We start from the raw sequence: 26523 nt of genomic DNA on the forward strand, positions 1-26523 counted from the left end.
GCCCATTGATGAGGCCGCTTCCTTCCAGCACCATCGTGCAGCTGCTCAGAGCCACCATTAAGGTGTTGGTGAGGGTGACATGGACTCTCAGCGCCTTGCCCACCTCAGCCCTCTCAGACACCTGTGTGGAGAGAAGTCAGCAATCCCATGGGCAACTGGCCTCGCTTCTGCACTCTGGTTCAGTTACCCCCACCCCCAGGTCCCTGGCGACCACCAGGAACTGCGGCTTAGAGCTAATGTGCCACAGTGGCGAGGGAGGAATGTGAGCTGAGAGTACTTGAGATTAACACATATACAGGCCTGCATTAGGTCACAATACTCCAAGGAGCCACCACCAATCAGCAGTTGCCACCAAGCTGAAACCCGTTTCTGTCCCCACCATCTAGTTCAAGATGTCCACAAGATTTAAATGGAAGTGCCAGCTCCAGTGGGTGGCTACTAGGAAGGCTGTGTTAAAAGGATCCTGAGGACAAAGGATCACAATTGATTCATATCTAACACAGGTGTGGGATAAGGAAGTGGTGTCGTGTGTGCCACCCATGTGCCATCAGTGATGTCATCCTGCCCTTACGCTCATCACCGAGGAAACAGTGAGGCCAAGGCTGCATGATGTGTTAATGGCAGAGCCAGGACCTGACCCAGGTGTCCCAGACCCCAGCCTAGGATCTTTCCCCACGCTGCTGTGTCTTCATAAACATCAGCAGGGCATGCACTCGAGTTTTTCCAGGTGTGCTCAGTGCTGTGTCACGGGGCAGCACAGCTGTGGCCTGTGAGTGGGAGGCAGGCATCCTTCCTACTCATTTCTGGAGCCCCTGGGCCTAGAACAGTGCCGGCCAGATGATGGATATCAGTAAGCACGTGTTGAACTGAAATGAGCTCTGACCACCCAGATCGTACTAGGGGCTTGTTCTGGCTGGGCCAGAGACTCAAGGAAAAGGAAGAACACACCTGACTCACCTGGGGTCCAAACAAAAATACCAAGTCCCTTGTACCCTCATAAGGGTGTCAAAGTAGAACAGGTTAAAATAACTGTGGAATCATCTGCAGATCCCTTACTGATGGGGACCAATTAGCAACCTACTTGGCATTTGCCATGTTTGCTTCAGGTACACGGCAGGGCCCTGGCCACAGCCCCAGGCTTATGTCTGCACTTGCAGTTCTGCCCACTGTTTGCCCCAGCACAGAGGCTGCCTGGTGTCAGCTGGCCCGACAGCCTGACAGTGTGCCTGGGTGAAAACCCTGGGGTAGGCCAGCTGATTTATGGTCTGGAGCTGCCCAGTTCTCTATTGGGGTGGGGAGGGGCAGGCTGTTGGAGAAGCCTCCAGGTACAGAGCCAGGTTTGGACTAGGCAGTGGGCAAGTCTTTCTGAGTGGGAGGGGCAGGTGAGAAAACGAGGCTTTCGGGAAGGAAAACCCTGGTAGCAGGAGATGGGGAATGCACCTGCCCTCTTCCATTCACCCTTCCTTTGCCTGAAATTCCTTCTTTGTGTAATGGCCTCACTGGCCACTCAGGCATCTGAACTCAAAATCTGAAGTTCACTTTTCATTTGTTTCCGTCTTTGTCACCTCAATCTTGTCAATACTCACCTTTTGTTTTGTTTTGTTGAGACAAGGTCTCACTCTGTTGTCTAGGCTGGAGTGAAGTGGCATGATCTCAGCTCACTGCAGGCTTGATTTCCCTGGACTCCCACCTCAGCCTCCTGAGTATCTGGGACTAGAGGCATGCACCACCACACCAGCTAACTTTTGAAAAACTTTTAAGTAGAGGCAAGGTCTCGCTATGTTGCCCAGACTGGTCTCGAACTCCTGGGTTCAAGTGATCCTCCCGCCTTGGCCTCCCAAAGCACTGGGATTACAGGCATGAGCCACCATGCTTAGCCAGTGGTCATCGTTTGAATTTGACTTTGTGGAGTCTCTAAATCTGTCTCCTCTACTTCATCTCCTAGTCACTGCCTTTCCCGTCTCTTTGCCTTTGCAAAATGATTTCCTTACTTAAAATGCCTTCACGGCCATCTAATTTCTCTATAGTTTCCTATGCATCCTCTGAAAAATAGCACGTCCTTTGAGAAGCCTTCATGCCCCTCCAACCCCACGCTGGTACAGAGCACTAGACCACACCATACTGTGCTGGAGCCATCGGTGTGGTGAGAGGTGGGAACAGTGTCTTGTTGGCTGCTGCACCCCAGCCCCTGGATTGGGTGAGTCAGAGAGCCTCAGAGCCCCCACCCATGTCCAGACACTACCTCAATAGACAAGTGGGGAGGCTCCAGACAGATATCTTTTAGGACCAGCATGGACCTCCCTGTCTCTTCAACCTCCGCGATGCCAGACACGCGGATGAGCTTTTCGTCCGTTAGCTTGTTTCTGTAATTGCTGTAGGGCAGGAGGAGCGGCCACTGTGTCTCTAAGCACATACAAAAGACACCTTGAGTCCAGGACATGGACCAGAGAGAGGGGGGACATGTAGATGTGAGAGAGGAAAAATTAGAATTTTCACGTGAGAGGTAAAAGTGTGTGTGAGAGACAGACAGACAGCGTCCCACCACGCACACACTGTCCCCAGGGCTCACTGCTCCGTCTCGCCTGGTGGGGTGGCATCAGAGGTGCAGCAGCTGGCAGCTTCACTGCCCAGAATGTGTGTGTGTTGGAGGAAGGGGTCTGTGTGTAATCTGGCTGGGCCCACCCCACTGTGTTCATGGACCCACAGCTCCCCTCCCTGTAGGTGCCTTCTCAGGCCTGCCTCACACTCACCCTTCCCAAAGTCCAGGTTCATCCGCACTGTGTGCCTCCAGAAGGGCTTCTGGGTACCACCCCCATGCAGCAGGGCCTGTGCACAGAAGCGCACCACCAGTCCGATGGGCCCCCGAGGGTGGGTGCTGTCTGGCACCCTCTGGATACGCAGCAGCAGCTGCAGGTCCTGGCCCCACTCGGGTATCCTGGCCAGGTGAAGCTGCAGCTGCGCTGGCTGATCCCTAAGACCCCCAGACTCCAGGAGATCCAGGAAGGGCAAAGAAGCTCTTTGGGGGCCCAGCATTTTCCGAGAAGCCTTCATGAAGACAGCTCTCTCCTCAGGGGATCCTGCAGAAGGGAGAGGTAGGAGAGACATGCATGGGGAGGGGTGGAGAGGACCAGTGACTTTCCTGGGGCAACAAGGCACAGGAATAGCAGCACAGGGAGGCGGCGCGGCTCAGGTGCTGCTTGCTGGGTTCAAATCCTTGCTCTGTCACAGTCCTTTAATCTCTCAGTGTTCTGTTCTGTCATCTGTAACCTGGGGATGATATCTGCTTTCCTTATAAGGGATCCCAAAAACGTCAGGCTGAGTTGCTGGCTGCAAGGACTCAGCACTGTTTTCTACCATCACTATGGCCACCAGCATCACTATCATCATCATCATGAAGCCAGAGGCTTCTCTCCCCTACCAGCATCCCTCCAGCTAAGATATATGCTCGAAACATAAAAAAGAGCTTCGGCCAGGCGCAGTGGCTCACACCTGTAATCCCAGCAATTTGGGAGGTTGAGATGGGTGGATCGCCTGAGGTCAGGAGTTTGAGACCAGACTGGCCAACATAGTGAAACCTCGTCTCTACTAAAATACAAAAATTAGCTGGGCATGGTGATGGGTGCCCGTAATCCCAGCTATTCAGGAGGGTGAGGCAGGAGAATAGCTTGAACCCAGGAGGTGGAGGTTGCAGTGAGCCGAGATTGCGCCATTGCACTCCAGCCTGGGCAACAAGAGTGAAACTCCGCCTAAAAAAAAAACAAAAGAGCTTCATCTCTTGCCCATGGGGGCTACTTAACATGGAGGCTTAATGTGGCTGGCTGCCACTGCTACTACTTGAGACCATCATTACCACAGTTACTACTGTTACTACTTGAGACCATCATTACAAGACTGAACGAAGGGATGAATGTAGAAATGGTAAAAAACAGAAGAAACTGTTTTAAGGAAAGGCTAGCATGCGGAATAAGAAAAGAGAAGGAGAAAAGAAGAGAAGAAGAAAGGGCTCCCTGCTTCTAGTGAGCAAAGGCAGCCGCTGAGTGTCTACCGCCCTTCATATTTATTTGGGTAGCAAGAGCAAGGAGGAGGAGGTAATGACTGGTCAGCTGCTTAATTGAGCACAGGTTCAGATTGTTACTGACAGGCTTCAGTTATGCCTAATCATAAGAAACATTTGTGCCGCCTCCAACAGCTTAACCCAAACTTACCCCCACCTGTGGACTTCTCTGGAGCAGTTGCTGCATTCCACAGGCACTGTTCCCAGTGCTTTCTATGGACACTCATTTAACCTCTCAACAGCCGTCCGAGGGACTGTTATCCCATTTTACAGATGAGGAAATGGAGGCACAGGGGTGGTAAACTGTGTCCAGTCTTACACAGGGCATGGCAGAGCCCTGTTCAGTACTCAGGCAGCCTGACTCCACACATGCGCCCTCCGTGGGGGTGTCCACCCCATCCACAGGCCCAGGGGCCCATCCCCCTGACTCCACCGCTCCCCTTGCCATGGACATAGGGAGACGGTGGTGCCACTCTGGGTGGAGTTAAAATACAGGACATCCAACCACATTTAAATTCCAGATAAACAACAAATTATTTTTAGTATAGTACATCCCATGCACTATTTGGAACATACTTATATATTAAAAATCATACCCAGTGTGAATTTCAGATAAACAGTGAATACTTTTTAGAATAAGTATGTCTCATACAACATTTGGGACATATATTACACAAATAAAATATTTGTTTATCTGGATCTACCTGGAATTCAAATTTAACTGGGCATCCTGTATTTTTATTTGCTGGTAACCCTACCCTAGGGCCACATGCCTGGGATCCAGGAAGGACCCCTAGGAGTTTGCCATGAGGAAGAGGTGATTCGATGGTGATGGTTTCAACTTGGAGCCATCCCAGCTAGGAAGCATCACAAAGAAGCTTAAAGCAGCCCTTTCCCCAAATACCCGCCCAGCACCTTCTGGGTACTTGTAGGAGCTGGTGATGCTCTGGCGCTGGTCTGACCCCACCATCTTAGTGCTGATCTCCTTCCCGATGGAACTGGTGTTGTGGGCCAGGATTTCCTGGGCCTGGCCATCCCCAAGGAGCCAAATGACTTCATCGGCGTTCACCTCGGCATACACAAAAGGGGTGTCATAGGCCAGGTGGACATCCCCTTCCCTGATGGCCTTCACAGAGGCAGGGCCACAGCAGAACAGCCCTGTGGAGGCAACAGGCTACTGATATGGGGGCCAGGGGCAGCTGGTTGTGGCTGTGGGAGGTGGAGATGGGATAGGCAGCGGCACCACTGACTCTCACCCGTGGGATATCTTCCAGTTTACCAAGCACTTTTGTTCCCATTAATTCATCTGACCCTCACAGCCACCCTGTGAAGTGGCAATGCTCATCATCAGCTTTTCCACTTTACAGGTAAGGACACAACTGAGGCTCAGTGACCCATCCAGGTAACCCATCCGGGTGACTCTGTCAATGGTAGAGTTAGATTCCTGATCTGAAGCTGTGTCAGCTGGGACCTCGGGAAGAGGGTGCCGTGGAAAACGCTGCTCCTCCCTGGTCTCCTGCTCCCACGGCCAGTCACCCTAATCTGCCTCCCCACAGAGCCAGAGCCTGTTGCAATGGTCCTCACTCACCACTGCTGGTCTGCTGGGGAGTGGGGTCCAGAACCTGCCACCCGTTGTATCCTGGTGGGAGATCTTTCCGGATCATCCAGCACTCATTCCAGACGTGGAAGTTCCTGCAGGAGGGAGTAAGGAGACAAGGATTCATGTTAGCTGAGGTTTTGCCAGGTACCAGGCACTATACGGAGTGATTTATATCATTGTTTCTTTTTCTTACTTTTTATTAGGAAGTAATTTCATACTAAAAGTCACAAGAATAGTACAGGCTGGGCGCGGTGACTCACGCCTGTAATCCCAGCACTTTGGGAAGCCGAAGTGGGCGGATCACGAGGTCAGGAGATTGAGACCATCCTGGCTAACACAGTGAAACCCTGTCTCTACCAAAAATACAAAAAAGTAGCTGGGCATGGTGGCGGGCACCTGTAGTCCCAGCTACTCGGGAGGCTGAGGCAGGAGAATGGTGTGAACCCAGGAGGCGGAGCTTGCAGTGAGCCAAGATGGCACCGCTGCACTCCAGCCTGGGCCACAGAGTGAGACTCCATCTCAAAAAAACAACAAAAAAGAGTAGTACAAAGAACACCCATCTACCCAATTCATCTGTTGTTAACATTTTGCCCCATATGCTTTCTTTCAGTGTGGACAGGAATAGATATCTACACATACACACTTCAGTGTGTATTTCCTGAGAATAGGGATCTTCTCTTACATAACCCCTGTATAGTTCATAAACCCTAGCACATTGGATATTGATATGATGCCTTTATCTAATTTACTGTCTATATTTTAATGTTGTCAGTTGACCTAATGATGTTGTTTAGAGCATTCTTCTCCCATGTGGTACGCGATGCCGTCTGTGATCACACACTGCATTCAGCTACGCAGAATGTTGTCTCCTTTGATCTTGGAACAGTTCCTTCGCCTTTCTTTCTTTGTTACATTGGGATTTGAAAACAATCTCTCGCTCTCTCTCTTTTTCTTTTTTTTTGTAAATGTAAGGGGTACAAATGTAGTTTTGTTTCATGGAGATATTACCTAGTGGTGAAGTCTGGGCTTTTAATGAAAACAGTCTTTATGTTATTTATCTATTTTTTAAAACCAGAGTGGCCCCCATTTTGGGCTTGTCTGATGTTTCCTCATGATTAGACTCAAGATATGCATTCAAAGACAGAACTGTGCCTAAGTTACATATCCTCAGATACACCACTGCTTCCTGAATCAGAGACAATTCAGACCTCTAGGAGTCTATCTGTGGATCCCAGGCTGAAAAGCCCTCCTTACTGGCATTGATCTCATTTCACCCTAGCAACCCTGTGAAGTAGATGTTATCTTCATTTTACAGACAAGGAAATTGAAGCTCAGAGACGGAGGGGGCTCCTAGGACAGCAGGTAGTTCTTACACAACTCAAGGAATCTTACCTGGAGGCTGGGTGCGGTGGCTCAGGCCTGTAATCCCAGCACTTTGGGAGGCCGAGGCGAGTGGATCATCTGAGGTCAAGAGTTCGAGACCAACATGGTGAAACCCCGTCTCTACTAAAAATACAAAAATTAGCCAGGTGTGGTGGTACGTGCCTGTAGTCCCATCTACTCGGGGGGCTGAGGCAGGAGAATTGCTTGAACCTGGGAGGTGGAGATTGCAGTGAGCTGAGTTCGCACCATTGCACTCCAGCCTGGGCAACAGAGCGAGACTCCATCTCAAAAACAAACAAACCAACACAGCGAGTCTTATCTGGAAACTGGCTGGAAAAAGAGAAACAGGAAACCAGATTTGCGGGTAGAGCTGAGAACAAAGGAACCAGGAAAAGAAGCCAGAGATACACAAATAAAGGGATGCACAGAGATACACACACACACACACGCATGCATATACATGCACAGACACATGCATGCAGACAGGGAGTGGGTTGGGCAGAGGAAGAAGTCAAGAGAGACAAGAAGAGGTCTACAGAAGCAGCCAGTCCAGGCTCTGTCTGACTTCTGGGAAAACTGGATGGTACAAACAGAAACTCAGAGAAGAAAGAGGAAGATGAATAAAGACTTTTGAGGTCAGTGTTCAGAAGACGCCCAGCTAGTCATTTGGTTGAGGCCCCAGAATGTTATCCCATTGTTTTCTACCTCTGAAATGAGTTAAATTTGATGACCTAATTAGCCAGAACAGCCTCCTGGGTTGGGGAATTCTTCTCTTCTCTGAGCATTAGCAGCAATGCTCAGGGCAATCTTGCAATATTTCCTCAAGAGCCAGAGAGAACCAGGTCAGTTTTTCTGCCCTCCCTGGGACAAAGCAGAGATCTGTTCAAGACAGTGCCTCTCACCATATTTTGTCTCGTTTCTGAGTTGACAGCATCTCGGCATTTCGGTCATAGTACGTATCGATGGTCAAGTTCCTATCCACGTTGTGCGCGGAACGGAAATTGGAAACAACACGGGTTGGAACACCTAAGCATCTCATTACTAAAGAGAAAAATATAGAGAATCGCTGAGTTCATTTCAGGCAGAATTATTGGTTTTCCATGCATAATTTGTAACTTTCAAGCTGGAGGAGAGAAAGCCAAGACGCTTACGGAACCACACCAGTAACTCCTTTATTCCCAGAGCCCCACACCCAGTCCCACAGCCCTGCTGCCCCATCAGTGATCAACATCCCACAAGGAGAAAGGAATCATTTGAGGGTCGCTTAAAACAACAGTTAACAATAATCCGACTTATCATTTAGGAGTCTTTCCACTCAGCAGCTTTCCAAGTTAAAGACAGAGGGCCAGGCGCGGTGGCTTACGCCTGTAATCCCAGCACTTTGGGAGGCTGAGGCGGATCACGAGGTCAGGGGTTTGAGACTCAGCCTGGCCAACATGGGGAAACCCCGTCTCTACTAAAAATACAAAAAAAAATTAGCTGGGTGTGGTGGTGCATGCCTGCAGTTCCAGCTACTAGGGAGGCTGAAAATTTAGTTCCGAAATGTTTTTTAACTTTTATTTTAGGTTTGAGGGTACACATGAAGGTTTGTTACGTGGGTAAACACGTGTCACGGGGGGTTGTTGTACAGATTATTTCATCACCCTCCTCCCACCCTAGCTCTGAAATTTGGGATCTGTAATTCTACTTAAAGACAAGAGGTAGGGGGAGGTATGAAAGAAATTCGAGGATGGATAGAGGGACAAGATAGACTTCTAGAGACAGTGGAAACCGTCAGCAGAGATAAGAGGAAATCACAGTCAGCAACCATCTTTAATAAGGCAGCAGCTCCCTCTTGTGGCTTCTCATGATACTGCTACAAAGGCTTTTAAAAGCTGAGTTATGATTTCACAAATCTAGTCACACAGTGTAAACATTACCCCCAACACATACACACAAACACACACACACACACACCCCTGCCTGCCCAGAGCCAGATGAAGTCAAGCCAAGAGCCAGCAAGAGCCAGGTGTGACCCTGAGGGGACGTGGGTACTGACATCAGCCAGCATGGTAAGTTCAGAGAGGTTTATCCCACTATCTCCCTCCTAGGAGGGGCAGACGGTGCCTACTGAGGCTGCCAGGAGGATTACACAGCTTCAAAAAGTAAAAGGAATATTGACAGCGACCAATCCTTTTGTTTTGGTTCACTGAAGAGCCCCCAAGAAGGCTTCCTGTCTGCAGTCACCTGTCCACTCACAGCACAGCTCCTGGGCTTGTCACAGATCCTTAGCAGGCGTGGGAGCTACACCTGGGCTGGAAGTGGCCATAGGAAGCTTGGCAGGGGCAGCTCCCCCAGTGCGCAGTGGCCCTGTAACTCGAGCGCCTGGGAGTGGGGAGAGGCTTGGAAATGGAGCAGGGTGGTGGACCTCGTCCTTCTCCTGCTCATCCCAGGCCTCCTCCATAACACCTACCTAGCACGGCCTGGGGACTTCCCAGCCCAAGGAACAACTGAGAATACTGAGTGCCAGGGTAGCCCTAGCCCCATTTCACACCTGGGCAAAGTGAGGTCACTGGATTCAAACACTCAGATTTAAACCTCCTCTGTGTCTGCAGCACCTGTATATAACTGCCAGCCTCTGCTGCCCCTCTCCAAAAAGTCTCTGCCCTTGTCTTTGGCACCTGTCTCTGTCCTCCCCATTCTCTGCTCCTCCTTTCTCCAACTCAGAGTCACCCTGTTAGTTCAGCAAATGTTCATCGAGCTCCATAATGTAGCAGGACAGGCCTGTCTAACAGATTCTGGCCTTGCAAGGGTGAGACAAGTACTCTCCATCTTTCTCTCATCTTCACAGATGGTCTGCTCAACAACTTTGCACTGAATTGTAAATAATTGATACTGCATAAAACATTGATGTTCTTTAAGGGTAGTCAGCAAGGTGGCAAGTCTATAATGATAACTGCTCAAGGATCTCTCAGTGAAGCATTTGGGGGCTGCTAGCTCTGCCTATGGGTGAGGTCAGCTATCTCACGCCATCTACTTCCACCTGCCCCCCCATGCCAGGCTCACCCTGAGCTGAGATGCCTGAGCAGGTGGCAGAAAGGAGCCATTTGGTTTCTGCTTCGGGACCACAAACTCCTCTATCCAGATGACAGTTTTAACAGTCTGACTGATCCATCAAGGATACTGTGAGATGATTGCCACAGGTCAATCCCCCTCTCACATAAATGCACAGGATCCCTCGAGACTGTATGGTGTGCTAGCTCAGGGCCTGGGTGCCCACCACCCCCAGCTGTGGGGCCATGGGCAAGCTACTGAACCTTTATGAGCCACAGTTAACTTCTCTGATAATGAAGTTAATCACACCCCTAAGTGAGTGATCTTTCGCTCACCGGTGCACATAACAGAGGCGAAGACCCAGCACTGTCCGTACTTCACAGGCTGCCCGCCCCTGGCTGACCACTGCTGTAGGATGGCCACACTGCCCTTCCACTCCAGAGGACTGACCCCTTTGGAGTAGTCCTCGCCCCAGTTCCCCTGCAGCACGCCATTGTCATCGTTGCTGTTGATCTGCAGAGGACAGACAGGTGGGTTTCCACAGCTCCCGGGGAAGCTCAGACTGTCCTCAGACGGCGGGAAGCATCCATCCTTACCATGGCACTCACCACCCTGCACACATACACCACGTCGTTCCGCTGGGAACAGTCTTTGGCCGGGTTCTTTAAGTGATACAGGCTCTTGTTCAGGATCTCAAAGCAGATGTCTATGATGTCCTCTTCAAACTTCCAAGTGATTTTAAGGGAGAAAAAAGAGAAGAGCAAATGTCTAGACTTCTGAAACTTTAAGTCACTAACAGACTTTTGGGGATGGCATGTATATGGGGATGTGGGGGCAGGGGGAGGGCGCTAAATATAAGACAAGTTCCTGCCTTTGAAGAGCTTATAAATCAAATTGGGAATGTATTAGGTTTGAAATTCTGAAACACTAAACTGCGTGGTTCTGATGAAAAATGGAAACAGAATTCGGAGAGTGAGAGACCCCCCTCGGCTGAACAGATGAGAGAAGGCTTTGGTGCCAATGGGCTTTGATGGACTGGGTGGGCAGGAAGAGGAGAGTGGGCATATTTACCTGAGGTCTTTGAGCATGGTGGGTATCAAGGACTTAGACTCCTATCTGGAGGACTTGAAGAAGCAGGGAAGGGATCAGAGCAGAAAAAGTCTAGAGATCAATGTAGGGCCACACGTGCCAGTCTTGAAATCAGGTAGAGGAGCTCAGAGCAGACGCTGCGGGCCCTGGAGGAGCCAGGGTGGGCTCATAATAGACGTGCACAATGTTTGTCACAATGCTTTGGCTGCCAAATGCACAGGTATTTGTCTCAGTTTCAAAGAGGGTCACAGGTCGCCACGGTTGGAGAATGGGGAAAACGTGCTCTCCCTCAGCAAGGCTTCCCCCACCTCTTCCCTTTTGGAGTTTGTGGACAGGACTGAGGTGGCAGTGGGAAGGAGAGAGAAACTACGCCTGCGGGGGTTGAGAGTGGAAACGTTGCCCAGAGCCAAGTTCCCCCTCTCTACGTTGACTGGATATTGGATGTTATTAAAGAATTACTATTCTTTTTTTTTTCCGTTACAATCATGTATTCTGATTAAGTTTTGCAGAAAGAGTCATCATCTTTTACATGACTATATTCTGAAGTACTATTGGATTAAATATGCTGAAGTGTTACTGGATTAAATAATATGGTATCTGTAATTTGCTTAAAAAAAAATTTGCCGGCAGCAGTGGCTGTAATCCCAGTACTTCGAGAGGCCGAGGCAGGTGGATCACCTGAGGTCAGAAGTTCGAGACCAGCCTGGCCAACACGGTGAAACCCCGTCTCTACTAAAAATACAAAAATTAGCCGGGCATTATGGCTCGCACCTGTAGTCCTAGTTACTCAGGAAGCTGAGGTGGGAGAATCACTTGAACCCAGGAGGTTGCAGTGAGCCAAGATCATGCCACTGCACTCCAGCCTGGGCAACACAGTGAGACTCTATCTCAAGAAAAAGAAAAAAATCTAGTGGTGGAGTGGGGAGTGGGGATGGAGGCAGAAGAGTACAGACCAGAGAAGGACAAGCTTTTTCTGTAAAAAACCAAATAGTAAATATTTTAGCCTTTGCAGGCCATAAGGTCTCTGTCTTTTTTTTTTTTATTCTACTTTAAGTTTTGGGGTACACGTGCACAACGTGCAGGTTAGTTACATATGTATACATGTGCCATGTTGGTGTGCTGCACCCATTAACTCGTCATTTAACATTAGGTATATCTCCTAATGCTATCCCTCCCCACTCCCCTAACCCCACAACAGGCCCCAGTGTGTGATGTTCCCCTTCCTGTGTCCATGTGTTCTCATTGTTCAATTCCCACCTATGAGTGAGGACATGTGGTGTTTGGTTTTTTTGTCCTTGTGATAGTTTGCTGAGAATGATGGTTTCCAGCTTCATCCATGTCCCTACAAAGGACATGAACTCATCATTTTTTATGGCTGCATAGTATTCCATGGTGTATATGTGCCACATTTTCTTAATCCAGTCTATCATTGTTGGACATGTGGGTTGGTTCCAAGTCTTTGCTATTGTGAATTGTGCCGCAATAAACATACGTGTGCATGTGTCTTTATAGCAGCATGATTTATAATCCTTTGGGTATTTACCCAGTAATAAGATTGCTGGGTCAAATGGTATTTCTAGTTCTAAATCCCTGAGGAATTGCCACACTGACTTCCACAATGGTTGAACTAGTTTACAGTCCCACCAACAGTGTAAAAGTGTTCCGATTTCTCCACATCCTCTCCAGCACTTGTTGTTTCCTGACTTTTTAATGATCGCCATTCTAACTGGTGTGAGGTGGTATCTCATTGTGGTTTTGATTTGCATTTCTCTGATGGCCAGTGATGATGAGCATTTTTTCATGTGTCTTTTGGCTGCATAAATGTCTTCTTTTGAGAAGTGTCTGTTCATGTCCTTCGCCCACTTTTTGATGGGGTTGTTTGTTTTTTTCTTGTAAATTTGTTTGAGTTCATTGTAGATTCTGGATATTAGCCCTTTATCAGATGAGTAGGTTGTGAAAATTTTCTCCCATTCTGTAGGTTGCCTGCTTACTCTGATGGTAGTTTCTCTTGCTGTGCAGAAGCTCTTTAGTTTAATTAGATCCCATTTGTCGATTTTGGCTTTTGTTGCCATTTCTTTTGGGGTTTTAGACATGAAGTCCTTGCCCATGCCTATGTCCTGAATGGTATTGCCTAGGTTTTCTTCTAGGGTTTTTATGGTTTCAGGTCTAACATTTAAGTCTTTAATCCATCTTGAATTAATTTTTGTATAAGGTGTAAGGAAGGGGTCCAATTTCAGCTTTCTACATATGGCTAGCCAGTTTTCCCAGCACCATTTATTAAATAGGGAATCCTTTCCCCATTTCTTGTTTTTGTCAGGTTTGTCAAAGATCAGATGGTTGTAGATATGCAGCATTCTTTCTGAGGGCTCTGTTCTGTTCCATTGATCTATATCTCTGTTTTGGTACCAGTACCATGCTGTTTTGGTTACTGTAGCCTTGTAGTATAGTTTGAAGTCAGGTAGCGTGATGCCTCCAGCTTTGTTCTTTTGGCTTAGGATTGACTTGGCAATGCAGGCTCTTTTTGGGTTCCATATGAACTTTAAAGTAGCTTTTTCCAATTCTGTGAAGAAAGTCATTGGTAGCTTGATGGGGATGGCATTGAATCTATAAATTACCTTGGGCAGTATGGCCATTTTCACAGTACTGATTCTTCCTACCCATGAGCATGGAATGTTCTTCCATTTGTTTGTATCCTCTTTTATTTCATTGAGCAGTGGTTTGTAGTTCTTCTTGAAGAGGTCCTTCATGTCCCTTGTAAGTTGGATTCATAGGTATTTTATTCTCTTTGAAGCAATTGTGAATGGGAGTTCACTCATGATTTGACTCTGTTTGTCTGTTATTGGTGTATAAGAATGCTTGTGATTTTTGCACATTGATTTTGTATCCTGAGATATTGCTGAAGTTGTCTATCAGCTTAAGGAGATTTTGGGCTGAGACGTTGGGGTTTTCTAGATATACAATCATGTCATCTGCAAACAGGGACACTTTGACTTCCTCTTTTCCTAATTGAATACCCTTTATTTCCTTCTCCTGCCTGATTGCCCTGGCCAGAACTTCCAACACTATGTTAAATAGGAGTGGTGAGAGAGGGCGTCCCTGTCTTGTGCCAGTTTTCAAAGGGAATGCTTCCAGTTTTTGCCCATTCAGTATGATATTGGCTGTGGGTTTGTCATAGGTAGCTCTTATTATTTTGAGATATGTCCCATCAATACCTAATTTATTGAGAGTTTTTAGCATGAAGGTTGTTGAATTTTGTCAAAGGCCTTTTCTGCATCTATTGAGATAATCATGCAGTTTTTGTCGTTGGTTCTGTTTATATGCTGGATTACGTTTATTGATTTGCATGTGTTGAAGCAGGTCTCTGTCTTAATAACTCAATTCTGCCAATGCAGCATGCAAGCAGCCACAGACTACATCTAAATGAATGAACATGGCTATTTGCAATAAAATGCTATTTGTGCACGCTGAAATTTGAATTTCATATAATTTTCACATCACAAAATATTATTCTTTTACAATTCCTTTTCAACAAGTAAAAAACGTGAAAACTATTCTCAGCTCATGGGCTAAACAGGCAGTAGGCCACATTTGGTCTGTGGGCTGTAGTTTGCAAACCCCCGGTGTTGATGAAACAGACTCATGATACATTGATCACTACTGAAGCTGAGAGGTGGGTACAGGGAGATCTATTGTAGTAGCCTGTCTACTTTGATTATGTTTTAAGGTTTTTCATAATAAAATGTTAAAAACTAAAAAGGAAAGACATCCACCCCTTCCTTCCTTGCCCCTCTCACTGGATGTGAAGCTGGCCAAGCCCCTCACACCCTCGCCTGTATTAGTGGCCCTCTATGAGGGCTGTGTAATATAACAGCCTTACATAACAGGGTTGTGTAAGGACCAGCCTTAGGGAGCCCACCCCAGGCCCACATTGGGTAATAGTGTTACCTGCCCGTAGTTCCAGGGCCAGGAGGTGATGAATCTTTCATGACCCTTGTAAACAAAGCCATAATCTCGCATGATATACTCCTGCAGCAGTATTTCACTTGGCAGGTAGACGTCGTCCTCTGAGCAGTTAAGAGTAGTGGAGGGGGCAAAACCCCAAACCAAAAAAACAGAGTATTAAATTAAAAAACAGTAACGACAACGTGTTTCTGGAAAACAGGAGGAACAGTCGATGGGTTGATAGCAACAGAAATTAAGACTAGACCCCCTTAAAGGTCTACTATGTGCTTTTCTAGAAGCCAGAAATACAATGTACACTTTAAAAACCAACGATCTTTTCTTGATTGTAAAAGTGACTGATTGTAGAGTTGGCTTATTGTAGAGATTCAGAAAATACAGATAGATGGGTAGAAGACAATGGAAACTGCTCACTCCCACTACTCAGAGACACCCACCGTTATGTTTTGGTGTATTCTAGCCACTCTCTCTTTCTGTGCATACTTAATACAATTAGGCTCATATTAGGAAATGTTTCAATGTTTTCACTTAACATCACGTCATGAATACTTTCCTCATGCCATTAGAAATTCTTTGTAAAGATGATTTTTGTGAGAGCACACGCTACTACATTGCATAGCTATGTGGCGATTTATTTTCTGGGCTTTTTCCAAAGAACCTCACAGGGCCTTCCCAATGGATCAGGTTAGCAATACAAGCTGTGGGCACATCCTACCTGGACTCCAAGGGTTAAAAAGTAGGATGAAAGTTCCCAGCGGGTAAGTCACACTGTGACCTTGGCCCTGAGAGATCTCTATTTTCAGAGTGTAATGGCCAATAACTGCATTGGCTGGTGTGAAAAGGGAAACTTGGAGAGAGTTGGAGTCAATGGTGAAATCAGAAGCGCTCCAGACATTCCCGGGCTGGACCCGGGTGAGGAAGAATGTGGCTCGGGTCCCCAGCAGCTCTGACGGCTTGGGTCCTGTGTAGGAGAGAATGACCCCACAGTGAGGCTCAAAAAACCTGTATGGTATATGATTCCAGGGGAGTCGGAAGGACCGTCACCTTCTCCCACCACCTGCTAATGCTTTTGGCTTTTACTGCCACCGAGTGTCCTCAGGCAAACCATTTAAGACCCCCAGGCCTCCGTTTTTTAATCTGTTAAAAGGGGATCATAATAGTACCACCTGAAAGTCTTGTCCTGGGGATTAAATGAGCTAATGTGTGTAAAGTTTTAGCACAGTGCTTGTTGTGTATCTACAGGTCGGTTGTTAACTGCCACAACCTCAGTTTGCCGAGTTGACCAAATCTCTCCTTAACAGCACTAACAGGGTCCTGAGCATGAGGGGTCTGGGGCTCCCAGGACAAGAAAGTGGAGGGCAGCTCAGGTGGGAAAGGCAGGGGCCCCGCAGGCAGACTCTGTAAATGCCCTCATTTTGACGGAACCTGCGGGGCCTTGGGACAGGGCAAACTCACCGGTCTCAGCCACAAAGGTGATGTGGTCGTTCTGGGACTGGAAGGGTCGGCTGAAGCTCAGCCGGAGGTAGAAGGGCTGGCCGCGGCGCACAGTGAGCCGCTTGACGCCCATCTCCTGCGTGTGGTGCTCCTTGTTGTTCCTGGAGCTCTGCAGGTCGACAGACTCAAGCCGCAAGGTTGCCACTAGGGGAGAGGAGGGGACAGGTCACGCCCACCTGCAGTCCCCTGGGCTCAGGCATCCCTTGTGGCTTCTCAGTCATTTCTGGGAGGTGCGGCGGGTGGTGGGGCGTGCGGGGGGTAGGTGGGGCGTGCGGGGGGGGAGGTGGGGTGTGCGGGGGGGGCGTGCGGGTGTGTGTGTGCGGGGGCGTGGGGTGTGCTGGGGAGGGTGGGGTGTGCGGGGGGGTGGGGTGTGCTGGGGAGGGTGGGGTGTGCGGGGGTGGGGTGGGGTGTGCGGGGGGCTGTGCGGGGGGAGTGGGGTGTGCGGGGGGATCGGCATGGGGAAGTGTTGATACTGGTGAATTCCATGTCTGGACCTGGAGCCACAATGATCAAGGATTGGGGTCCCCAAAAGGGAAACAATTCCAGATAACCGAAACTTAACCCCTGAAGTGCCGCTGCATGCTCTTAACTATTTGTTGACAATCTTTCTAAAAGTCACCCTTTTATCCTACTGATATAAGAATAAACATACTAGGATTTTGTATGAATTAAGTCAGTGAGCTGACTGGAAGCTGGGACTTCAGCCATAGGGCAAGTCCCTGCTTTGGAATTCTGGACACTCTCTGGGTCACTTGTAACTTACTTCTGACTTCTCAGCCATTTCCAGGTCTATGAGGAGGGCACTGCCTGCTTCCTGTGTGTGCACACCTGGTACATGGTTGTAAAACTCTCATAGCACAGTAGGCAGTGGGCAGGTTCTGGACTGACACAGCCTCAGGTCTATCATCTGGGCTGTGAGACCTCGAGCAAGTCACTTAATATCCCTAGACATCAGTGTCCTCATCTGAAAAATGGAGACAATTGTATTCCTACCTTATAGGGTTCATGTGGGCGTTAAGTGAGGATGCCCATGGAAGGACCTTGGCGTTGTGCCAGGTACAGAGTAAGGAGTCAATATTAGTTACTCTTACTGGTAGGAATCATGCGTTCTTGAATTGCATTTCTTTTGCGACCTTTGCTGGCAATGTTTAGATTGCATTTACTGTCGACAAAAGTTCATCAGGTCTTTCCTCTAGTAGTACATCAGTTTATCTCAGTGGTTCTCAACGGGAAATTCCGTGCCCTGGAGGACATTTGGCAATGTCTGAAGACATTTTTTACTGGGAAGAGAGGCTGCTAAGCAGCATCCTAAAGGAAAAACTCATATTTGCTCCCAGCCAGTTTTTGTGCCATTTGTATTTTGAACTTCCACAGAGGTTCTTAATGTTTTTGCATCTTTCCTACCTATCTTGATCCTTTTTTTTTTTTGGAGACAGGGTCTCACTCTGCAGCCCGGCTGGAGTGCAATGGCATGCTCCTGGCTCACTGCAGCCTCAGCCTTCATTCTGGGCTCAAGTGATCCTCCCATCTCAGCTTCACAAGTATGTTGGACCACAGTTATGGGCTACCATGCCCTACAGTATTTTTTTTGTATTTTGTAGAGACAGCATCTCCCTATGTTGCCCAGGTTGATAGATTCTGATTTTTTGACCCAAATATTTTACTTTTCCATCTCTAGACTGGCTAAACTGTCTTCCAGTCTTCATCTAAGTAATCAGTAATAAGATGTTTCTAAGCATTAGAGCCTAAGTTGGTGGCCAGTTGTGTATCATCAGCTCTTTCTTCCATGTTAACACTGAGCCATTAAGAAATACTCTTTGGGGCTGGGCACCATGGCTCACGCCTGTAATCCCAGCACTTTGGGAGGCCAAGAAGGGTGAATCACTTGAGGTCAGGAGTTCGAGACCAACCTGGCCAACATGGTGAAACCCTGCATCTACTAAAATACAAAAATTAGCCAGGCCTGGTGGTGAGTGCCTGTGATCCCAGCTTCTTGGGAGGCTGAGGCGGGAGAATTGCCTGAGCCCAGGAGGTAGAGGTTGCAGTGAGCCAGGATTGCCCCATTGCACTCCAGCCTGGGTGACAGAGCAACTCCATCTCAAAAAAACATAGAACTAGAAAAAAAACTCTTTGGGCATAGCTGTTCAACTGCTTTAACTACATCTAATCTTTGAATAAAGCTGAAGTCAATGTTAATTTCCTTCACAATCTAAAATCAAATCCAGTTTTCATCTTTTCCATAAATGTGTCAAATGTCTGGCTAAAAACAGAATATGCATAAGGATCCCTTGATCTGTCTCTTAACAACAATCTTTTGTAAGGTAGATTCAACAAAGGTGAATTACTGGATCAATTGGTACAAAGTTGTTAAACCTCTTGATGTGTTGGGGCACTTAAATAGATATGTTATTGGAACCAGAAAATTTAGAGAAAGATCTAAGACAGATCCCTTTTAATCATTCAACAGCAGTTTTTAAACTTCAGTTCCAACTCATTTAGTAGTTTGTGAAATCAATTTAGAGAGAGGTAGCCTGTAATAAGAAAATGGAATGGAATAGAAAACATACAATGCATCACACATAGGAAGAACAAGGACAATTTTATGTGTAGCTAGGTCATGATATAAATCATAGATCATAGTTAAAAGTCAGAAAGCAGCCGGGTGAGGTGGCTCACGCCTGTAATCCCAGCACTTTGGGAGGCCAAGGCGGGCAGATCACGAGGTCAGGAGATTGAGACCATCCTGGCTAACATGGTGAAACCCCTTCTCTACTAAAGATACAAAAAATTAGCCGGGCGTGGTGGCGGGCACCTGTAATCTCAGCTACTCAGGAGGCTGAGGCAGGAGAATGGCGTGAACCCGGGAGGCAGAGGTTGCAGTGAGCCGAGGTCACACCACTGCACTCCAGCCTGGGTGACAGAGCGAGACTCTGTCTCAAAAAAAAAAAAAAAAAAAAAGTCAGAGAGCAGCTGGCCTCAATCTGGTTGGGAACTGGTTGCTTCTCATTTGTTCCTAAGGGGCCTAAAGTTTTCATAGCAGGACCACTGAGCCTTCACAGAAAGCCTCTCCGTCCCATACACAACTCCCACCCTGAATGATCATAGATCCAAAAGAGACAGGGACACACAGGAGGGAACAGGACTCAGGGTAGCCTTTTCCTGGCTGCTGTTTGTAGCTCAAAGCATAGTTCCTAGGGACAGCCAACTCAATTTTCCCCTAAGCCAGACTTCTCTTAGTTTGGGAAAGAAAGGAGAGGGGGAGGAAGGAAGATGTCTTCCTCTCCAGAGGCCCAAGGTTGCAGTGGCATGGAGAAAACTCATTCTCCACTGGACACTCAGGTTTTCTTTTTTATTCCACTCCACTGAAGTGCTTCTCATGTCAAAGAGACAATGACTTAAGAAAACAAAGGGAAGGGTTTTCAAAAGCAGGAAAAGAAAGCCAAGAGGATCAGGAAGAGGCTCAACAAAGCAGAAAATCAAGCAGAATCAGTTAGTAAAAACATGTCAGCACCCACAAGGCCTTCTTGTCTTGGCCACAATACCACTGGAGTTAATGACATGAGTAAGAGGAGAGTTAAGCCCCAGCCACAAGATTCCTGGCACTTATTTGACTAATACAAAGACAAGGGTATAAAAGGATCAAATATATCCTGATGTATTATCAGCCTTTTAAGAAAAAGGAGACAGGCCGGGCACAGTGGCTCACGGCTGTAATCCCAGCACTTTGGGAGGCCGAGGCGGGTGGATCACGAGCTCAGGAGTTCGAGACCAGCTGACCAACATGGTGAAACCCTGTCTCCACTAAAAATACAAAAATTAGCCAGGCATGGTGGCTCATGCTTATAATCCCAGCTACTCAGGAGGCCGAGGCAGGAGAATTGCTTGAACCTGGGAGGCGGAGTTTGCAGTGAGCTGAGATCGTACCATTGCACTCCAGCCTGGGCAACAGAGCGAGACCCTGTCTCAAAAAAGAGAGAAAGAGAGACAGAAAGAGAGAAAGAGAAAGAAAAAGAAAGAAAGAAGGAAGGAAGGAAGGAAAGAAAGAAAGAAAGAGAAAAAGAAAGAAAGAAAGGGACATTGAAACAGCCATCTGCATGTATAGAAAGAAAGAAAGAAAGAAAGAAAGAAAGAAAGAAAGAAAGAAAGAAAAAGAAAGAAAGAAAAAGACATTGAAACAGCCATCTGCATGTGATGAGCTCCGCGATGCAAAGCTCCTGTCCTCTGACACCAAAACCCAAGACAGCCCTGCCCTCACTCACGCCTCCATCTCTCCACTCGGGTCTTGGCTCAGCAGTAACCACTGCACAGGGGCTTTCTTTGGCCACCAAGCATGATGCTTTACTTCCCACCATGTGGTCACTTTCTATCACAACACCCTCTCTGTTTTCTTCAGGGCACTTAATATCTAGAATTGGTTCCACAAAAGCAAGAGACCTCAGCCATCTTCAAATGCAGATTCCCCTGCCTAGAAAGGAGCCTGGTGCCTAACTGCAGATATGCATGGCTAATGTTCGTGGAATACTTACCAATGCCCGGCATTGTTTAGAGCATTTTACATGTCTGAAAGAATTTATGTTCTCACCAACCGCCTGAAATGGAGCTGTTAATATTGTTCCTGACATACAGGAAGGTGCTGGGTGGAGATAGGATCAAACCCAGGGAGGCTGGCTCCAGAGGCCGCCCCCTTAACCTGCACAATCTCCTGCCATCCTGGTGGGTTCTTGGTGACATTTGCTGAATGGATAGACACACATGTGCGTGAGGTTCAAGGAGAATCATCCTGCAGAAGAGCACTGGGGATGGAGGGGATGGGAAGGGGCAGAGCCTGTGAGGGCAGCAGGGCCAGGATGAGGAGGGGCTCGAGCCCGGGCCAAGACGCTGCTGCTTGATTCAGTAGTCATGGGTAGATCTAGCCCTGATGGGTAGATAAAATGTTACACCTTTCTGAGAGCAATTCATCAATATTTATTACAAAATAAAAGAAAACGGCCAGGCGCGGTGGCTCACGCCTGTAATCCCAGCACTTTGGGAGGCCGAGGCGGGCGGATCACAAGGTCGAGATCGAGATCATCCTGGCCAATATGTTGAAACCTTGTCTCTACTAAAAATACAAAAATTAGCTGGGCATGGTGGTGGGTGCCTGTAGTCCCAGCTGCTTGGGAGGCTGAGGCAGAAGAATTGCTTGAACCCGGGAGGCGGAGGTTGCAGTGAGCCAAGATCGGGCCACTGCACTCCAGCCTGGTGGCAGAGCGAGACTCCATCTCAAATAAATAAAATAAAATAAAATAAAAATAAAAGAAAGCCTTAAAACATAAATACCTTTGACCCATGAACTTCTCATCTAGGATTTTTTTCTTAAAAAATAATAATTTGTGTACAAAACTTAAGCATAAAAATGTTCAGTGCAACCCAAATATCTTACAATAGGAGTTGGCTACATAAACTTGATTCCTCTTATCTGATGATTCCAACTTGATTCCAACAAAGAGGGCACCAATAGCAGCCAAAAAAAAAAGGAGCAAAGATTACAGAAAGGTAGTTCACAAGACATTAGAAAGGAAGATTTTTTAAAAAGACTAAAAATTAGTATGTACAAATTATCTTTAGGTGGTGAAATTATTGGAAATTTTCTTTCCTTTAGGTTTTTTGGCTTTTCCCAAGCTTTTTCTTTGAACATGTATTCCTTTTGTATTGAGGGGAAAGTGCTACTTTGATTAAAGGCAGGCTTTTGAGCAGGAGTGGCAGGATCAAAGCTGAACTTTAGGATTAATTCGACTGTGGCATTTAGCCTAGACCAGAGGGGAAGAAGAGAAGGACGGGAAGGGCAGCGAGAGCCCTGTCACAACGATCTAAGCCAAAGGCTCATGAGGACCTAAACACAGGTGTTGGTAAGAGGAAAAGAAGGACCACCCTATGTGTGCAAGGGGCTGGCATCCCTGGGCATATGGCAGGCTAATAAACATTTATTGAAATATTTTGACTTGTAGGGCTTCCTAAGGCCCCAGCTAGGGTGGATGAAAAATGGGGTCGGTTAAAGGAATCAACTGCCAACAAAGTCCCAGGCAGTCAGGTTAGTGGTGAGGTTGGCACGCTCTAGGTGGAGACAACAAAGGGCAAATTCTATCCAGTGCAGCTGGCATGGAGTTGGCACCTGCCACAAAATGCCAGGTGGAAGGTGGACTCAGCTCCTTCCATTCTTCTGTCTTTGTTTTTGCATTTATTCTAGCTTCTTTTCTCTTTCCATTTCTCATTATTGTTGTCCATTTTTAGGACTTTTACAAATACGTTATTCTTTTTCATTTCTTCCCTTCTTACAAAATGTGAAAGAGTATAATCTGTGTGAGAGCATATGAAGAGATTCCTATAGGAGATTACTGCCGTGTTCTGTGCCTCTTTTAGTGTGCAAGAATAAAAATTTCTTATTACTTAAAAGTTCAAGTCCAAACTCCTTAGCCAAGCATTCCAAGCCCTTCACAATGTGGTCCCAACATATCTCTCCAATCTTATCTCCCACTAGCCCATAAATAAACTGCTTCACTTGTACTATGGCCTCCAAACAGACCATACTCATATCTACCTCTGACAGCCCCTGCCCCTTCCCTAATCTCTTTGTGTCTCCATTGTACCCATTCTTCAAACAAAACCCAGCAGCCACTCCTCCACAAAATTCTTCCCAAGCATTTCAGAACATAGGGGATGTTTGCACTTGCAACACTAGTTGAATATCTAGTTAATACTAAGTTTTATGGAACTCCAGGCTTTATGTACATCATCTCCTGCTATTCCTGTAACTACCCAATTCCATATTATCAGCCCCCTGTTACAGATAAGTAGGAAGATGATAGGCAAAGTTAAGTAACTTGGCCAGTGTCACCTACTTAATTAAGTGGCAAAGTTGGCATTTAAACCTAGACAGTTTGACTCTAGAACCTAGTTCTTAACTTCTGGCTGGTGGTACTGGTCTGAAGATTTTCAAATTTTTTTTCCAAGTAAGTGAATATTGTGCTTTCTTCAAATGAAAACATAATGAAAGGCCGGGCGCGGTGGCTCACGCCTGTAATCCCAGCACTTTGGGAGGCTGAGGCGGGTGGATCACGAGGTCAAGAGATCAAGACCATCCTGGCCAACGTAGTGAAACCCTGTCTCTACTAAAAATACAAAAAATTAGCCAGGCGTGGTAGCGGGCGCCTGTAGTCCCAGCTACTCGGGAGGCTGAGGCAGGAGAATGGCGTGAACCCTGGAGGCGGAGCTTGCAGTGAACCGAGATTGCGCCACTGCACTCCATCCAGCCTGGGCAATAGAGCAAGACTCCGTCTCAAAAATATATGTGTATATATATAACTGTTTTAGACTTATTCTAGTTGGTGATAGCCAAGGGGAAAAGATATGCTAAACTCTAGCACTAAAGTACCCTGGAATCTAGCACGTGACAAGCTTCTTGAGCCTTCTCTGTCAAACTCTGTCTTGCATTTAAAAACCATTTATATCTCTATTTTTATTTTGTGTTTGTTTGAGACAGGATCTCACTTTTTCTCCCAGGCCGGAGTGCAGTGGCGCAATCTCAGCTCAATGCAGCTTTGACCCCCCCAGGCTCATGCAGTCCTCCCGCCTCAGCCCTCCAAGTAGCTGGAACTACAGACTTGTGCCACCATACCCGGCTAATTTTTGTATTTTTAGTAGAGACAGTATTTCACTATGTTGGACAGGCTGGTCTCGAACTCCTCAGCTCAAGCGACCCGCTTGCCTTGGCCTCCCAAAGTGCTGGGATTACAGGCCTGTGCCACCACGCCCAGTGTGAGACACAGTGCCTGGCCATTAGAACATGATACATGCTTTAGAACATTATTTTAAGACATACATGGCCGCGTGTGGTGGCTCATGCCTGTAATCCCAGCACTTTGGGAGGCCAAGGTGGGTGGGTCACCTGAGGTCAGGAGTTCAAGACCAGCCTGGCCAACATGGCGAAACCCCACCTCTACTAAAAATACAAAAATTAGCCGTGTATGGTGGCAGGCACCTGTAATCCCAGCTACTCAGGAGGCTGAGGTAGGAGAATCCCTTGAACTCAGGAGGCAGAGGATGCAGTGAGCCGAGATCGCGCCATTGCACTCCAGCCTGGGCTACAAAGGGAGACTCCATCTCAAAAAAAAAAAAAAGAAAAAGAAAAGAAATACATGACCCATGTTTAGTGCCCTCCCTGGCAGGCCGCATGTGTTGGCCAGGCTGGCCCAGCCTGCGGGGGCCTGTTCTTCTCACTCCCAGGAGAGGAGTGGCAGGGTTCTGAAGGGATCGAAAAAGGGGCCTGAACTCAGGGGTGGGGGCAGCAACTCTCAGTGAGGACCTGAGAGTCAGGGGAGAAGCTGGACAAGGGAGAGGTCTAGGGTCTGAGAGGGGTCCTCCCACAGCTTCAGAGTTGGCCATAGAAATAGCCTCCCAAGCACCCAAGGACACCTGGTGGCAGGGGCCAAGCTCTTTTTGGGGCTCCTCAGACTTCCCAAGGCCATTTCAGCCCCCCAGGTTTTAAAGAAAAGGCTGTTCACAGCTTCAGAAAAGAAAACGAATGGCTGTAGGATTTGTGCCCCAAGGTCCAAATGCAGATGGAGAAGTAAGAAGAAGGAGCCGTATTGCACAATGAACTACCAATCATCAATCCAGGCTCTCCTGTCGCTTCCCTACATCCTCTACCCTCTCCAAACTTCTCCCCTCTCTTGACTTAGCACCTCCGAAAAGGTAAGTCGATTCCCAGTACTCACCCTGATCCATCTCCCTCCTTCTCCTGTCGGTCAAGGCCCTTCAACTAGTCACCAGTACGATTCGAGACCTAATTGCCTCTTGAGCATTTACAGTCACCCTACTAGAACCTTCCCTTCCATCCCTGAGTCGGGCGGGGCTGCCACTTCCTCCTCCTCCCACTCCTCCTCTTAAATTTCCCGTTGTTCCAGGTACATCTTGGCTTAAGGAAGGGAGCTTCTGACTTAAGCCTTGTAAAAATGTGCTGAGGGATTTGTTTCTGTGGCCTCCTTTTTGAGCTGAGAAGACTCACAAGTGATGTGAATGGCAAAGCTTGGCTTGAAGCTGTTCCCTTGTGCCTCTGTCACTTCAAGGCCTGGGACCCGATTCGATCTAAGCCAGTTCGGTCTGGCTTCCCCTGACCATATGGGTGTTGGGTAAGAAAGAGCTATGAGGAAGGTCATAGAAAGAGTCATGAAGAAAGATTTGCACAGCCCATCAGGACCCAGGGAGCTTTGCATCTTGAAGAAAAATAAAGCACACTGAAATACTGAATTATTAATGCTGCTGATTAAAAATGAAGTTGACAAAGTTTCCAGTGACAAGGAAAAATGCCCATAATGTGATATTAACTGGAAGGAAAAAGTAGAATAGGAAAACAGTGCAGTTGTTCTCACTCATATGTGGGACCTGAAGAAGTTGAGATCAGAGAAGCAGAGAGCAGAGTCGTGGTGCTTAGAGGCTGGGAAGGGTGGGTGGGAGCAGGGATAGAGGTTGGTTAAGGGATACAAAATTACAGCTAGATAGGAAAACTAGGTTCTAGTGTTCTATAACACTGCAGCGTGACTATATTTAATACGAATTTATTGCATATTTTCGAATAACTGGAAGAGAGGTTTTTGAGTGTTCCCAACACAAAGAAATGATCAATGTTTGAGATGATGGATATTCTGATTACCCTGATTTGATCATTATACATTGTATACATGTATCAAAATACATCAGAATGTCACTCTGTACCTCATAAATATGTACACTATTACATGTTAATTAAAAATAAAATAATTTTTTAAAAAACAGTGTAGTTTAACAGTGTAAAAAATATTATTTATGCAGATAGACCCATTTTTAAAAGATAGAAGAAAATATAACAAACTGTGGCTAAGAGCAGTGAGATTGT

At 47.2% G+C, this 26523-nt stretch overlaps 1 protein-coding gene across 2 annotated transcripts in view, besides 1 other annotated feature; it reads right to left on the bottom strand.

Annotated features, from left to right (window-relative positions):
- The window catches only part of TGM7 (transglutaminase 7), a 25985-nt gene extending 604 nt beyond the window's left edge, over positions 1 to 25381 (bottom strand). The window contains exons 1-12 of one of the 2 annotated variants that reach the window (NM_052955.3): positions 25367 to 25381; positions 16575 to 16757; positions 15835 to 16080; positions 15105 to 15223; positions 10667 to 10795; positions 10406 to 10583; positions 7940 to 8078; positions 5643 to 5746; positions 4970 to 5212; positions 2751 to 3077; positions 2243 to 2403; positions 1 to 121 (exon numbers count right to left, since the gene is read on the bottom strand). The exon at positions 1 to 121 is cut by the window's left edge and continues 13 nt beyond it. In NM_052955.3, the coding sequence (NP_443187.1) occupies positions 1 to 121; positions 2243 to 2403; positions 2751 to 3077; positions 4970 to 5212; positions 5643 to 5746; positions 7940 to 8078; positions 10406 to 10583; positions 10667 to 10795; positions 15105 to 15223; positions 15835 to 16080; positions 16575 to 16757; positions 25367 to 25376 (1960 nt within the window). In that variant the 5' untranslated portion in view covers positions 25377 to 25381. Of the gene's footprint in view, positions 122 to 2242; positions 2404 to 2750; positions 3078 to 4969; positions 5213 to 5642; positions 5747 to 7939; positions 8079 to 10405; positions 10584 to 10666; positions 10796 to 15104; positions 15224 to 15834; positions 16081 to 16574; positions 16758 to 17704; positions 17718 to 25366 lie in introns of those variants that run through there. The other variant, XM_017021903.1, reaches the window with a different exon arrangement.
- Positions 20790 to 21426: an enhancer, noted in NCBI's record as "NANOG-H3K4me1 hESC enhancer chr15:43589862-43590498 (GRCh37/hg19 assembly coordinates)". NCBI's record gives its function as "activates a minimal SCP1, AML or CMV promoter by ChIP-STARR-seq in primed H9 embryonic stem cells {active_cell/tissue: H9 hESC(primed)}" and the evidence as "EXISTENCE:reporter gene assay evidence [ECO:0000049][PMID:30033119]".
- Positions 25382 to 26523: the final 1142 nt, after the last annotated feature.

The sequence above is a fragment of the Homo sapiens genome, chromosome 15 (genome assembly GCF_000001405.40).
Source record: "Homo sapiens chromosome 15, GRCh38.p14 Primary Assembly".
Taxonomy (NCBI): Eukaryota; Metazoa; Chordata; class Mammalia; order Primates; family Hominidae; genus Homo; species Homo sapiens.